Source organism: Homo sapiens, chromosome X (genome assembly GCF_000001405.40).
Source record: "Homo sapiens chromosome X, GRCh38.p14 Primary Assembly".
Taxonomy (NCBI): domain Eukaryota; kingdom Metazoa; phylum Chordata; class Mammalia; order Primates; family Hominidae; genus Homo; species Homo sapiens.
In genome coordinates this window covers 6,929,537-6,946,035 of record NC_000023.11, presented here as the reverse complement: position 1 = coordinate 6,946,035, position 16,499 = coordinate 6,929,537, and the positions used below count along the sequence as shown (strand labels likewise).

At 40.8% G+C, this 16,499-nt stretch overlaps 1 protein-coding gene across 2 annotated transcripts in view, besides 2 other annotated features; it reads left to right on the top strand.

Annotated features, from left to right (window-relative positions):
- Positions 1-16,499, top strand: part of PUDP (pseudouridine 5'-phosphatase) — a 442,316-nt gene that overhangs the window by 202,118 nt on the left and 223,699 nt on the right. The gene's annotated exons all lie outside the window — the stretch shown is intronic.
- Positions 12,790-13,455: an enhancer, noted in NCBI's record as "H3K27ac-H3K4me1 hESC enhancer chrX:6850622-6851287 (GRCh37/hg19 assembly coordinates)". NCBI's record gives its function as "activates a minimal SCP1, AML or CMV promoter by ChIP-STARR-seq in naive and primed H9 embryonic stem cells {active_cell/tissue: H9 hESC(naive and primed)}" and the evidence as "EXISTENCE:reporter gene assay evidence [ECO:0000049][PMID:30033119]".
- Positions 13,456-14,122: an enhancer, noted in NCBI's record as "H3K27ac-H3K4me1 hESC enhancer chrX:6849955-6850621 (GRCh37/hg19 assembly coordinates)". NCBI's record gives its function as "activates a minimal SCP1, AML or CMV promoter by ChIP-STARR-seq in primed H9 embryonic stem cells {active_cell/tissue: H9 hESC(primed)}" and the evidence as "EXISTENCE:reporter gene assay evidence [ECO:0000049][PMID:30033119]".

Below are 16,499 nucleotides of genomic sequence, written 5' to 3'. Positions count from 1 at the left end.
TTGATATCAGCAGTGGAGTCTTTGGAAAGGGCTGGTTTCTATTTAACCCTTAGGGAAGCAAGTCTAATGGTGGTTAGCGAGGGATGGGGTATAACGAGGTGTGTCTGACACCCCGTCTCGTCGTGGCCTTCAGTTTTCAAGGTTATTCTGGGGTCCCTTTGGCTAAGAGATGTTTCATTAAGTCAGTTGTGGGGCTTAGAATTTTATTTTTAGTTTACGATATTCATGTTTATCTCTTCAGGCTGAATTCCCAAAGTTTGAGTTTCCGAGTCCAAGTGTGTGCACAACTTTATGATTTGCTTTTTTTTCTGTGTTTCTTTTTTTTCAATTTATGCATTTTTCTGCAAGGTGTAGAAGTCCCCATACTGGTGCTTTCCTGAAAACTCTTGGGAACCCTCTTAAAAACATTCTTGCAATTTTCATAAATTGAAAAGGAGTAATTTCATCTTTTTAATAAACATTTCTTTGATTTCTTTGTGTATATTGACCATTTAGATTTTATTCATCAATGGTTGCCTTACCTTCCTTGGCCACTTTTTCATTAATATTTCCAAGTAGCTATAGTTTAAAGACAGACAAAATACAAACATATTAGATTTTAAAGCATATACAGAAAAACATCTAAATATTTGTTTTTAATGACAAAAAAGGGGAAAAAACACAGGTATGTTTGTGCACATTGGAAATCACTGCCTCCTGATTCCCAGGCTTCTTCTAAGTCTCTCCTTCAACTTTGTGGCTTGCTGATGTAACCAAGTTGGGTCTAGGAGCTTCTGGATCCTTCCACATACAACACACTGTTGACATCAAACCGAACTAGGGTCCACTCACCCGGTACCCCAAAGCCAAACACTGACATCAGGATTGCAGTAAGAGGAAGTGAAGTATTTATTGAGGGCAGCAAGCAAGGAGAATCAAGCAGCTCAGGCTTAAGACCTGACCTCCCTGATGGCTTGCAGGTGGAGGTTTTAAAAGGCAGGGAGGCAGAGGTTACAGGCAAAGCCATAAGTTAATACATGGAGGCCATACGTCGGTTTTACCTAAAAAAGGTGAGACATCTCGATTTCAGGGGAGTGGCCTACAGGTCATAGGTGGATTCAAAGTTTCTCTGATTTGTGATCGGATAAGGAGGGAAAGTTTTGTCTAAAAATTTGGGATCAGCAGAAAGGAATGCTGAGCTCTGGTCCATGGGCATGACTTCCTCTAGGCCCCTCAGGAAGAAATTTAGAACAAAGAGTTGCAGTCGGAGCTCAGTCCTCAGTTGCCCCTTGTCTGAGGTCTACATGCCAGTGGATCCATTTTTTCAGGGATCCAGGCTTCTGAAAAACAACTCAGGAACATATGCTAAGATATTATCTTTTGTTTCTATAGGGACCCAAACAACTCTTGGCTATGAGCTTCCTTGGCTATTGTTTTAGGCTACTATTCCCTTCTGGCTTATCAAGTTGCTCTGTTACTTCTCAGGGCCAGCTAGGTGCCTGGAATTTCCCTTGAAGGAACTCTAGATTTTGCCTTATTTCCATGCTTGGGAACAGGGGATGGGTGGGGGGTGGGCCCCTAAGAGGGGTCCCTGATGTATCTCACTCTCAATATATATAGCATGTTTTTCAAATAATGTGGAATCATTCCATGTATTAGTTCATTTTCACACTGCTGTAAAGATACTGCCCGAGACTGGGCAATTTATAAAGGAAAGAGGTGTAATTGACTCACAGTTCTGCATGGCTGGGGAGGCCTCAGAAAACTTACAATCATGGCAGAAGGCAAAGAGGAAGCAAGCAACTTCTTCACAAGGTGGCAGGAGAGAGAGAGAACCCCAGGGGAAAGTGCCATTTATAAAATCATCAGATCTCGTGAGAACTCACTCACTATCATGAGAACAGCATGGGGGAAACCACCCCCATGATCCAATCACCTCCCACCAGGTCCCTCCCACAACACATGGGGACTACAGTTCAAGAGGAGATTTGGGTGGGGACTCAGCCAAACCATGTAATTCCACGTATTCTTTTGTGCGTAGATCTTAGATAGTTGGCTCCACAAAAATGACCAAATGGAAGGAATGAAATTTGGACTTCTTTCTTTTTAATTTTTTTTTCTAACTCTGTTCATTTAAAATTGTGCAGCCATGGCCTTAGGTTACAAATCCTTGAACGGCAGAGAATGGATGTGTTTAACTGTTTTATTGAGAGGGAATAAAATATTCATGGCTGCCTCCAGTGGCAGTGTGTTCAATGCTTTGTGAAGTGTTGGAAATGCAGCACCATTTAGGAGGAAAGCAGAAAAGCAGCTTTTCTTTACTGGTGAAATGCCAACATCATACTCTTGAGTATTAGATATTGTGAGTACAGATAACACCTACCGGAATATTTCTGGTATTAATAAAAACATCATTTTCTAGAATGTCAGGGTTTTATTCCCAATATATCTGCCTAAATGTCTTGTATTTAGGGTAAATATTGCCTACTTTTTCAACATCTCACACTGGATCAAGTGTGGGAGCAAAATTTCCATTCAATTCCAAATTTCTGAACCATAATAACAAAAATTCAAATTAACGAAAAATCTGGGATAATAAATGGAATGGCTTTGCTTCTGAGCTAAAATACATCTTTGAGTCACAGCTCCCTGGCTGCAAAGAATTTCTACCGAGATGAAAGAAACCTTTAAAATATTTTAGATATTAAAGTAACTGCTGAAATGTTAATTGGCAAAGGAAGAAATGTTCTATTATTCTATTAAATATTTTAGAAGTACTAGTGATGAGGGCTCTCTGGGGATGTGTAGTTGGTAGCATAACTTGGAAATATACGTGAAAGTCTTGAATTGTACGTGCCATAGAAGGCCCCTCATGGTGTCCTGCTTATGTTAAGGCCTCCAGAATTCCTACATTGTACATCATAGTTCTGAGGCACTGGGTAAGGACTTTCACCATGCACAGAGATAAATGTGGCAGGTGATTACTAAAGGGGGTTGATGAGATGTTTCTTTGGGTGCATCGGTTTCATTTGGCTGCTGAAGCAAAGTACTGCAAACTAGGTGGCTTACAACAATGGAAATTTATTCTCTCACAGTTTAGAAGGCCATGTGTCCAAAAGTCACTCTTGTCAGCAGGACCACGGTCCCTCTAAAGGCTCTAAGAAGGAGTGTTACCTTGCCTCTTCCAGCTGTGGCCAAGGTGGCCCCATCCTTGGCTCCTTGGCTTGGGGCTACACCACGCCAATATCTGCCCCCATCTTCATGTGGCTGTCTTCCCTGTGTGTGTTTCTCTGTGTCTTCCCCACTTCTTATGAAGACACCACTTACTGGATTTAGGGCTGACTCTAACTCCAGGATGATTGCATCTTGAGATCCTTGACTCATGAGATCTGCAAAAAGCCTGCTTTCAAATAAGTTCACTTTCTGAGATTCCAAGTGGATATCACTTTTTAGGGGACACTATTCATCCTTAGGGTACCTAAAAGGTATTAGAATACACCACCCCAAAATACACCATTTGGCCCTAAGAATTATTTTGACCTGAAGGCAATTAAGAAGCAGCAAATGCAGAAAGAGCAACTTATCCTTCCCTATCTGGACAGCCAGTTCTCTGATAGGTCTCAGATTACGTAAAGGAAGTCTGTCATCTTAAGATTGTAGGAAACTAGGGCCTGTGGTGGTCCCTAGTTTCATTTCTTGTAAATGTAGCAAATTGTTACTTTTAAATATTAAAGTTTTCAAATATATAATTCAGTATTAGAATAATTCAGTATTACAACATTGGACAATATATTTGAAATTTGCTAAGAGAGTAGAACTTTGTTTTATTTTTAATATTAATTTTTAACATTTTTATAGATATAGTGGGTAAAAGTGCAGATTTCTTACATGCGTATATTGTGTAGTGGTGAATTCTGGGCTTTTAGTGTATCTATTGCCAGAATAGTAAACATGGTACCCAATAGGTAATTTTTTAACCCTCCCCTCGCCTCCCTCCTCCTGCCTTTTGGAGTCTCCAGTGTCTATTATTCCACATTCTGTGCCCATGTGTAGCCCTTGTTTAGTTCCCACTTATATAAGGGAGAACATGCAGTATTTGACTTTCTGTTTCTGAGTTGTTTCACGTAAGATAATGACCTGCATTTCCATCCATGTTGCTGAAAAAAGATTATTTCTTTCTAGAGAGTAGATCTTAATTTTTCTCATACACACAGAAAAGCAGTAAGTACATGAATTGATGGATATATTAATTAGCTTGATCGTGGTAATTATTTCACAATGTATACATATATCAAACATCACATGTATACCTTAAATAAATACAGCATTTTTACTTTGTTATTTATGCCTCAATAAAGCTGGAAAAAAAAATCCCAAGTTTTGTTCTTATTTTCCACAAGATGACTCAACCTTAGAAAATAGAAACCAGGCCAGGCATGGTGGCTCACACCTATAATCCCAGCACTTTGGGAGGCCAAGGTGGGAGGATTGCTTGACCTGAAGAGTTCAAGACCAGCCTGGGAAACAAAATGAGACCTTGTCTCTACAAAAAGTTAAAAAATTAGCCGGGCATGGTAGTGTGCACCTGTGGTCCCAACTGAGGCAGGAGGATAGCTTGAGCCCAAGAGGTAGAGGCTGCAGTGAGCTATAATTGTGTCACTGCACTCCAGCCTGGGTGACAGAGCAAGACCTTGTCAAAAAAAAAAAAAAAAAAAGACAGAAAAGAAAAAGAAAAAAGAAACTGGAAATAAATTATCATCCTTGAACTTGACTAGTCTTTATTTTTTTAGAGGTTGAGTCAGCATGGGGTGAGGAGATTGGAATTTCCTTCCCTTAAGAGGTCAACTCTTACAATAAAAATCTCCACTGACCATGTCACATTAGGTACATAGTAGATACACAATCAACATTTATCCATTGATTAAGTGGATTGCAGAAGGAATACTGTACTACACTCTATTGTAGCATTATAACATCTATGCTATGTCACCACCCAATGTTTGTAAGTTTGGGAAGAAAATGGGAAAGAGGGAGGGCCATTGCAACAAGATATTGTTTGCTTCACTTGGGCTTGGCCTTGTCATAAAATTGCTTTAAAATAATATATAAGGTTTTTGTCAGTTTTTGCCAACTCTGAAATTGATCTTATCACTCAGTGAAAATTGAAATACATATCTAAATATCTGTTTTTTGCAGATTTTCATGTTTCTAAAAGACACACTTTGTACTTGGGGCTCCACTGCACTTAGGAGTCAACAGTGGTGTGCAGGGACATGGGAGTGGAAGTTTGTAAACAAGAGCACCCAGATAGTTTGTAAACAATGGTCCTTAGGAGGGCAGGGACTTGTTACTCTCGTGTCTCTGTTTCCTAATCCTGCAAGGAAGATGGCTCCCAGCAGGTACTCCATCATAGTTCTTAATCAGTGGGTGAGGAGTAAAAGAGTGATGAATTACAGGGCCAAAGTCTGGAGTTCTAGTCAGGCCTCCAACTTCGCTATCTTCAAGAACAGCTGCAACATGAAAATCACTCTGAATTTTGGTAAGCTGGAGTGAGTGCTTCTAATTGCTGGCTGTAATTTTGCCTAGTGATGAAGCAGAACAACTTCATTCACTCTGGCCTGATGTTGCTGATTCCCATCAACACCTGTAATTGCCTCAAACTAGGGGTCAGGCAGTGTTTTCTCTAAGTGTCCAGAAATTAAATAATTTTCTCTTTGTGAGCCATATGGTCCTTGTCGCCACTTCTCAATTCCGTCATTGTAGTGTGAAAAAAGCCATGTGCAATATGTAAGCAATGTCTGTGGCTGTGTTCCAATAAAACTTTATTTGCAAAGACAGGCAGAGGGCCAGGCTTGGCCAATGGGCCATAGTTGGCTATCCCCTAGTATAAGCTATGAATGAAGCTGACCCCTAAAAAGAGTTTTGAAGATTCTTATTTTACAGAGGAGAGGCTAAAGGTTATAGTCTCAGTATTCCAGGACAGTACCCTTATATCTGTCTCAGAATGTCTTTCACTTCTTGATTTCAGTTAACACAACTGTATAGAAGGAATGATGCCAACAGAAATAATGATACCAAACACAAATGATCATATGCAAGCCTTTTCATTTTGAAAAGATATTTATGGGATTCCTTCTTTAACAGCTATCCAGAATATCCAGAATTCTTTTTTCTTTTCTCTTCTTTTTCTTTTCTTTTCTTTTTTTTTTTTGAGACAGAGTCTTGCTCTGTCACCCAGGCTGGAGTGCAGGCCTTGACCCTCCTGGGCTTGAGCGATCATATGAGCTATGATCCTCCCTCATAGCTGGAACTACAGGTGCAGACCACCATGCCCACCTAATTTTTTGTATTTTTTGTAGAGACAGGGTTTCACCATGTTGCCCCAGGCTGGTCTCAAACTCCTGGGCTCAAGTGATCCTCCAGCTTTGGCCTACCAAAGTGCTGGAATTACAAGCATGAGCCACTGCACCTGGCCTCAGAATTCTTGAGTTTTTTTCATGGAATAAGATTTCCGAGTTGTAATAATAAATATGTCTTTTTTATAAGCACTGGGAAATGTCTATTAAAATAATAGATTATTTCATCTAATGCCATGGTTTTTGTGATGACTTTAAGGAATCACAAAATAATGTATCTATTATAGATTAAATAGATTAATAATATTAATAATATATATTAATAATATTAATATAGCATTAAATATTATATTTACAATATTAATATAGATATTAAATAATTATTAAATAGATGAATAATAAATCTAATAAATAATAAATCTAAAATAATATATTACTTTATCTAATGCTATGGTTTTATGGTTTTTCTGACTCCTTTAAGGATTCTCACAGATAGTAACATATTTTCCTTCCACACTTTTTCAAGACTGTTGATAAAGATAAAAATCTATCTTGTCTAGCTGGAAAAGCAATTGGATTTCCTCCACTTCCTTAAAGGTAAAAGTTTTCACCAGATCTCTTAAAATGAGGAATGAAACCTAGAGATAAAAAGCCGTGGTTTGCATAAATCAAAAGAACCAAAGAGTTGAGAATGAGTTTGTAAAAAGATAATTTTTGGCATACATTATAATTAGTCCACCAGAATACTTATCCATTATCTGCTTTTTTAAGTTATTACCAATTATCTGGGACATAATGGATAATTGTGCTTAGGAATTTGAAAGTAAAATGTGACATTTGCATAAAGGTGTCATGTTCGCCTTCATACCTCTTAGCTTCTGCCAGGCTAGTATTGCAAAAAAAAAAAAAAAAAAGAAAGAAAGAAAAGAAAAAGAAAAAAATGTGCTTTAGGCAGGTGGTTCTTAAATTGGCATAATTCATGCGACTCCTGACCAAAAATAGGCAGTTTGTTCTCTTTCGTGAGATTTAGTCCTCACTTTAATCCTCCCAGCTACTGGATTTTTTTTTTTTTAATTTAAGTTCTAGGGTACATGTGCACATTGTGCAGGTTAGTTACATATGTATACATGTGCCATGCTGGTGTGCTGCACCCACTAACTCGTCATCTAGCATTAGGTATATCTCCCGATGCTATCCCTCCCCCCTCCCCCGACCCCACAACAGTCCCCAGAGTGTGATATTCCCCTTCCTGTGTCCATGTGATCTCATTGTTCAATTCCCACCTATGAGTGAGAATATGCGGTGTTTGGTTTTTTGTTCTTGCGATAGTTTACTGAGAATGATGATTTCCAATTTCATCCATGTCCCTACAAAGGACATGAACTCATCATTTTTTATGGCTGCATAGTATTCCATGGTGTATATGTGCCACATTTTCTTAATCCAGTCTATCATTGTTGGACATTTGGGTTGGTTCCAAGTCTTTGCTATTGTGAATAATGCCGCAATAAACATACGTGTGCATGTGTCTTTATAGCAGCATGATTTATAGTCCTTTGGGTATATACCCAGTAATGGGATGGCTGGGTCAAATGGTATTTCCAGTTCTGGATCCCTGAGGAATCGCCACACTGACTTCCACAATGGTTGAACTAGTTTACAGTCCCACCAACAGTGTAAAAGTGTTCCTATTTCTCCACATCCTCTCCAGCACCTGTTGTTTCCTGACTTTTTAATGATTGCCATTCTAACTGGTGTGAGATGGTATCTCATTGTGGTTTTGATTTGCATTTCTTTGATGGCCAGTGATGATGAGCATTTTTTCATGTGTTTTTTGGCTGCATAAATGTCTTCTTTTGAGAAGTGTCTGTTCATGTCCTTTGCCCACTTTTTGATGGGGTTGTTTGTTTTTTTCTTGTAAATTTGTTTGAGTTCATTGTAGATTCTGGATATTAGCCCTTTGTCAGATGAGTAGGTTGCAAAAATTTTCTCCCATTTTGTAGGTTGCCTGTTCACTCTGATGGTAGTTTCTTTTGCTGTGCAGAAGCTCTTTAGTTTAATTAGATCCCATTTGTCAATTTTGTCTTTTGTTGCCATTGCTTTTGGTGTTTTAGACATGAAGTCCTTGCCCATGCCTATGTCCTGGATGGTAATGCCTAGGTTTTCTTCTAGGGTTTTTATGGTTTTAGGTCTAATGTTTAAGTCTTTAATCCATCTTGAATTGATTTTTGTATAAGGTGTAAGGAAGGGATCCAGTTTCAGCTTTCTACATATGGCTAGCCAGTTTTCCCAGCACCATTTACTAAATAGGGAATCCTTTCCCCATTGCTTGTTTTTCTCAGTTTTGTCAAAGATCAGATAGTTGTAGATATGCGGCGTTATTTCTGAGGGCTCTGTTCTGTTCCATTGATCTATATCTCTGTTTTGGTACCAGTACCATGCTGTTTTGGTTACTGTAGCCTTGTAGTATAGTTTGAAGTCAGGTAGTGTGATGCCTCCAGCTTTGTTCTTTTGGCTTAGGATTGACTTGGCGATGCGGGCTCTTTTTTGGTTCCATATGAACTTTAAAGTAGTTTTTTCCAATTCTGTGAAGAAAGTCATTGGTAGCTTGATGGGGATGGCATTGAATCTGTAGATTACCTTGGGCAGTATGGCCATTTTCACGATATTGATTCTTCCTACTCATGAGCATGGAATGTTCTTCCATTTGTTTGTATCCTCTTTTATTTCCTTGAGCAGTGGTTTGTAGTTCTCCTTGAAGAGGTCCTTCACATCCCTTGTAAGTTGGATTCCTAGGTATTTTATTCTCTTTGAAGCAATTGTGAATGGGAGTTCACTCATGATTTGGCTCTCTGTCTGTTGTTGGAGTATAAGAATGCTTGTGATTTTTGTACATTGATTTTGTATCCTGAGACTTTGCTGAAGTTGCTTATCAGCTTAAGGAGATTTTGGGCTGAGACAATGGGGTTTTCTAGATATACAATCATGTCGTCTGCAAACAGGGACAATTTGACTTCCTCTTTTCCTAATTGAATACCCTTTATTTCCTTCTCCTGCCTAATTGCCCTGGCCAGAACTTCCAACACTATGTTGAATAGGAGTGGTGAGAGAGGGCATCCCTGTCTTGTGCCAGTTTTCAAAGGGAATGCTTCCAGTTTTTGCCCATTCAGTATGATATTGGCTGTGGGTTTGTCATAGATAGCTCTTATTATTTTGAAATACATCCCATCAATACCTAATTTATTGAGAGTTTTTAGCATGAAGGGTTGTTGAATTTTGTCAAAGGCTTTTTCTGCATCTATTGAGATAATCGTGTGGTTTTTGTCTTTGGCTCTGTTTATATGCTGGATTACATTTATTGATTTGCGTATATTGAACCAGCCTTGCATCCCAGGGATGAAGCCCACTTGATCATGGTGAATAAGCTTTTTGATGTGCTGCTGGATTCGTTTTGCCAGTATTTTATTGAGGATTTTTGCATCAATGTTCATCAAGGATATTGGTCTAAAATTCTCTTTTTTTGTTGTGTCTCTGCCTGGCTTTGGTATCAGAATGATGCTGGCCTCATAAAAAGAGTTAGGGAGGATTCCCTCTTTTTCTATTGATTGGAATAGTTTCAGAAGGAATGGTATCAGTTCCTCCTTGTACCTCTGGTAGAATTCGGCTGTGAATCCACCTGGTCCTGGACTCTTTTTGGTTGGTAATCTATTGATTATTGCCACAATTTCAGATCCTGTTATTGGTCTATTCAGAGATTCAACTTCTTCCTGGTTTAGTCTTGGGAGAGTGTATGTGTCGAGGAATTTATCCATTTCTTCTAGATTTTCTAGTTTATTTGCGTAGAGGTGTTTGTAGTATTCTCTGATGGTAGTTTGTATTTCTGTGGGATCGGTGGTGATATCCCCTTTATCATTTTTTATTGCATCTATTTGATTCTTCTCTCTTTTTTTCTTTATTAGTCTTGCTAGCGGTCTATCAATTTTGTTGATCCTTTCAAAAAACCAGCTCCTGGATTCATTAATTTTTTGAAGGGTTTTTTGTGTCTCTATTTCCTTCAGTTCTGCTCTGATTTTAGTTATTTCTTGCCTTCTGCTAGCTTTTGAATGTGTTTGCTCTTGCTTTTCTAGTTCTTTTAATTGTGATGTTAGGGTGTCAATTTTGGATCTTTCCTGCTTTCTCTTGTGGGCATTTAGTGCTATAAATTTCCCTCTACACACTGCTTTGAATGCGTCCCAGAGATTCTGGTATGTTGTGTCTTTGTTCTCGTTGGTTTCAAAGAACATCTTTATTTCTGCCTTCATTTCGTTATGTACCCAGTAGTCATTCAGGAGCAGGTTGTTCAGTTTCCATGTAGTTGAGCGGCTTTGAGTGAGATTCTTAATCCTGAGTTCTAGTTTGATTGCACTGTGGTCTGAGAGATAGTTTGTTATAATTTCTGTTCTTTTACATTTGCTGAGGAGAGCTTTACTTCCAGCTATGTGGTCAATTTTGGAATAGGTGTGGTGTGGTGCTTAAAAAAATGTATATTCTGTTGATTTGGGGTGGAGAGTTCTGTAGATGTCTATTAGGTCCGCTTGGTGCAGAGCTGAGTTCAATTCCTGGGTATCCTTGTTGACTTTCTGTCTCGTTGATTTGTCTAATGTTGACAGTGGGGTGTTAAAGTCTCCCATTATTAATGTGTGGGAGTCTAAGTCTCTTTGTAGGTCACTCAGGACTTGCTTTATGAATCTTGGTGCTCCTGTATTGGGTGCATATATATTTAGGATAGTTAGCTCTTCTTGTTGAATTGATCCCTTTACCATTATGTAATGGCCTTCTTTGTCTCTTTTGATCTTTGTTGGTTTAAAGTCTGTTTCATCAGAGACTAGGATTGCAACCCCTGCCTTTTTTTGTTTTCCATTTGCTTGGTAGATCTTCCTCCATCCTTTTATTTTGAGCCTATGTGTGTCTCTGCACGTGAGATGGGTTTCCTGAATACAGCACACTGATGGGTCTTGACTCTTTATCCAATTTGCCAGTCTGTGTCTTTTAATTGGAGCATTTAGTCCATTTACATTTAAAGTTAATAGTGTTATGTGTGAATTTGATCCTGTCATTATGATGTTAGCTGGTTATTTTGCTCGTTAGTCGATGCAATTTCTTCCTAGTCTCGATGGTCTTTACATTTTGGCATGATTTTGCAGCGGCTGGTACCGGTTGTTCCTTTCCATGTTTAGCACTTCCTTCAGGAGCTCTTTTAGGGCAGGCCTGGTGGTGACAAAATCTCTCAGCATTTGCTTTTCTGTAAAGTATTTTATTTCTCCTTCGCTTATGAAGCTTAGTTTGGCTGGATATGAAATTCTGGGTTGAAAATTCTTTTCTTTAAGAATGTTGAATATTGGCCCCCACTCTCTTCTGGCTTGTAGGGTTTCTGCTGAGAGATCCGCTGTTAGTCTGATGGGCTTCCCTTTGTGGGTAACCCAACCTTTCTCTCTGGCTGCCCTTAACATTTTTTCCTTCATTTCAACTTTGGTGAATCTGACAATTATGTGTCTTGGATTTGCTCTTCTTGAGGAGTATCTTTGTGGCGTTCTCTGTATTTCCTGAATCTGAACGTTGGCCTGCCTTGCTAGATTGGGGAAGTTCTCCTGGATAATACCCTGCAGAGTGTTTTCCAACTTGGTTCCATTCTCCCCGTCACTTTCAGGTACACCAATCAGACGTAGATTTGGTCTTTTCACATAGTCCCATATTTCTTGGAGGCTTTGCTCATTTCTTTTTATTGTTTTTTCTCTAAACTTCCCTTCTCGCTTCATTTCATTCATTTCATCTTCCATCACTGATACCCTTTCTTGCAGTTGATCGCATCGGCTCCTGGGGCTTCTGCATTCTTCACCTAGTTCTCGAGCCTTGGTTTTCAGCTCCATCAGCTCCTTTAAGCACTTCTCTGTATTGGTTATTCTAGTTATGCATTCTTCTAAATTTTTTTCAAAATTTTCAACTTCTTTGCCTTTGGTTTGAATGTCCTCCCGTAGCTCAGAGTAATTTGATTGTCTGAAGCCTTCTTCTCTCAGCTCGTCAAAGTCATTCTCCATCCAGCTTTGTTCCATTGCTGGTGAGGAACTGCGTTCCTTTGGAGGAGAGGCGCTCTGCTTTTTAGAGTTTCCAGTTTTTGTGTTCTGTTTTTTCCCCATCTTTGTGGTTTTATCTACTTTTGGTCTTTGATGATGGTGATGTACAGATGGGTTTTTGGTGTGGATGTCCTTTCTGTTTGTTAGTTTTCCTTCTAACAGACAGGACCCTCAGCTGCAGGTCTGTTGGAGTTTGCTAGAGGTCCACTCCAGACCTGTTTGCCTGGGTATCCGCAGCGGTGTTTGCAGAACAGCGGTTTTTCGTGAGCCGCGAATGCTGCTGTCTGATCATTCCTCTGGAAGTTTTGTCTCAGAGGAGTACCCGGCCATGTGAAGTGTCAGTCTGCCCCTACTGGGGGGTGCCTCCCAGTTAGGCTGCTCAGGGGTCAGGGGTCAGGGGTCAGGGGTCAGGGACCCACTTGAGGAGGCAGTCTGCGTGTTCTCAGATCTCCAGCTGCGTGCTGGGAGAACCACTGCTCTCTTCAAAGCTGCCAGACAGGGACATTTAAGTCTGCAGAGGTTACTGCTGTCTTTTTGTTTGTCTGTGCCCTGCCCCCAGAGGTGGAGCCTACAGAGGCAGGCAGGCCTCCTTGAGCTGTGGTGGGCTCCACCCAGTTCGAGCTTCCCGGCTGCTTTGTTTACCTAAGCAAGCCTGGGCAATGGCGGGCGCCCCTCCCCCAGCCTCGTTGCCGCCTTGCAGTTTGATCTCAGACTGCTGTGCCAGCAATCAGCGAGACTCCGTGGGCGTAGGACCCTCCGAGCCAGGTGTGGGATATAATCTCGTGGTGCGCCGTTTTTTAAGCCCGTCTGAAAAGCGCAGTATTCGGGTGGGAGTGACCCGATTTTCCAGGTGCGTCCGTCACCCCTTTCTTTGACCTGGAAAGGGAACTCCCTGACCCCTTGCGCTTCCCAAGTGAGGCAATGCCTCGCCCTGCTTCGGCTCGCGCACGGTGCGCGCACCCACTGACCTGCGCCCACTGTCTGGCGCTCCCTAGTGAGATGAACCCGGTACCTCAGATGGAAATGCAGAAATCACCGTCTTCTGCGTCGCTCACGCTGGGAGCTGTAGACCGGAGCTGTTCCTGTTCGGCCATCATGGCTCCTCCACCACCTCTATGGCTACTGGATTCTTTAAGGATGAAGACATGGGGGTTACCAAGCACAATGGATGAGCTATGCACTTTCAAAAAGGGGCCAGAAAAGGGAAAATCTGTGTGCTTCCACCTGTACGATTAGGAACTGCTGAAACACGCGCCTCACACGTTTAATCATGGGAGGAGAAGCCCTCCCGGCAAGAACAATCCATCATCCGACAGACGCTTGATTGTAACAGATGACGGAGCACAGGTAAGCCCACCTCTGTCTGCTCCATATCAAGTCATCTGCCTGCCAGGAACGCTCGGCTTTTTAACTGTGTTAAAAAGCAGTTGCCAAGCCCAATACCAAAGACAGGCAGGGTTTTGTAAGTTTGCCTTACGAACTTAACTTATGTATGGTGCACACATAAACACACACACATATTTGTGCGTTTATTTATAAGTATTTAATTAAAGAAGCTACTTGCATAAGATATTTCCTGAGATAAGGGATGAATTAATTTTTACTGATTTAAAAGCATTTGGGTGTGAAGCAGCAAAAGAGTTAAACATCTTTAAGTTAGCATTTCAAAACCTCATTAGAGAGGTTTTTTAAATAGTGAAGTCTTTTGTTGTTGTTGTTTGTTTGTTTTTTTAACCTACTCTCTGCAGCTAAGACTATAGATAGAGTAGGGAAGAACCGAAAAGGGACATGACTGATCTTTTTTATCTTGGGATTGCGTCCTCCCGGTACTGCAGTCTGGATGTCGTCTGGGTCCTGTCCACAGGTGCAAGGGTTCATGGAATCCTTCCCTTTCAGCTGAGCTTCTTTGAGTTTCAAGATTCCCACACAGGAGCGCTGCTCCTTAAATTTTCTGATTTATACTGACTGGCTGGCTCTGCAGCAATTAGGAACGGACACAGAAATAGCAAATGCAATTATTTTATTGGCTACATACACTTCCCTCCTATGGAGTAGAACAAATCTACCTAATTATTTCCTTCGTGTTAGACGCTTTTGCTTTTAAATATAATGCAAAGCTGGTCACGGTGGCTTGTTCCTATAATCCCAGTGCTTTAGAAGGGCAAGGCAGAAGGACTGCTTGAGGCCAGGAGTTTGAGACCAGCCTGGGCAACATAGCGAGACCTCGTCTCTATAAAAAAGTTAAAAAATATTTAATGAAATTGATGACATTCCAAGTCTGGCTCTTTTTTGAGCATTCTCTGTTGCTGTGACCAAGACCACCATCCATTCAGTTATATAAACCAGGAACACAAGAATCTTCCAAATCAATAAACAATGACACCCAGGTCCTGGCGCTAATAATAATTCCAATCAATGCAGAGATGGAACGTGTGTGAGAGGCACAAGACATTTGAGGAATGGAACCAGAACCTTTCTCTTTCTTGGGACTACTATTGAGTTTGGAACATGACTTCTATCCTTCAGGTCACAGGATAACTGCAGCGGCCAAGCATCACACACCCGAATAAAAATATAGGGTACACAGTTAAATTTGAATGTCAGGTAAACAACAACAAACTTTTTTTTTTTTTTTGTATAAGGATGCAACACTTTTTTTGACATTCAAATTTAACTGGGTGCCCTCTATTTTGTTAAGAAACTTGAGGCAGGAGTGACCAGAAGTTCCAGGAGAAACAAACAAGAAAGCAAGGTCAGGAGATTTAGAGCTCAGACCTTGATCTAAAGGAATTGTCACTGGAGAGGGCTCCCAATTCAGACCCCAAGAGAAGGTTCTTAAATCTCACACGAGAAAGAACTGGGGGTGAGTCTGCAGAGTAGAGTGAAAGCAAGTTTATTAAGAAAGAAAGGAACAAAAGAATGGCTACTCCATAGGCAGAGCAGCCCCATGGGCTGCTGGTTGGCTATTTTTATGGTTATTTCTTGATCATTGCTGAATGAGGGGTGGATTATTCATGAGTTTTCTGGGAAGGGGGTGGGGTTTTCCCAGAACTGAGAGTTCCTCCCGCTTTTAGACCATATGGGGTAACTGCAGGACGTTGCCAAGGCATTTGTAAATTGTCATGGTGCTGGTGGGAGTGTCTTTTAGCAACTAATGCATTTGAATTAGCATATAATGAGCAGCGAGGACAGCCAGAGGTCACTTTTGTCACTATCTTGGTTTTGGTGGATTTGACCAGCTTCTTTACTGCATCCTGTCTTATCAGTAGGGTCTTTATGATCTGTCTCTGGTGACACCAGTCCTGCTGACCTCCTGTCTCATCCTTTGGCTAAGAATGCCTAACCTCCTGGGAGTGCAGCCCAGCAGGTCTCAACCTCATTTTACCCAGCCCTTGTTCAAGGTGGAGTCACTCTGGTTCAAACACCACTGACAAAGCAACACCCCCCCACCTTGTCTTTGTCTTCTCTCAGGTAGCCTAGGATCACCTTCATCCTGGAAGACCCTGGAAAGTCCTATCCTATTTTTCAACCACCTGCACCTGTGCTGCTTCCACCACCTCCTCTATACTCTTGGGGTACCACAAAATTCTCTTCTTAACCATGGCCTGGTGCAGAAGGAGATGTTTAGTAATGCAGTGAATTCTCAGTAACACAGCCCTATCATATGAAAGGATAAGCCCCATCACATCAAAGGAAAGAGGATTGAGACAGGACTGGGGGCAGGAAAAGCCCTAAGAGTCATAGAGTTTCTAGACAAAACACAGGGCACCCAGTTAAATTTGAATATCACGTAAATATGGGGCATGTGTATAATAAAATATTATTTGTTGTGTAAGCCAAAAATAAAATTCTAAGCCCCCTCAGCCATCTGAATGGACCCCTTCTCTTGACCAAGGGCATTCCGAAGTTAACCTGAAAAACTAGTTCCGGCCCTGACAGAAAAGGGGAGCTGGATGTGCATCAAGATTCCCTCCTCCCTTTTGGAATTACCAATAGAATTGGCTCCTTATGTCTGATAAGAAACATTTACAATCTATTCTCTCTGAATGAGAAA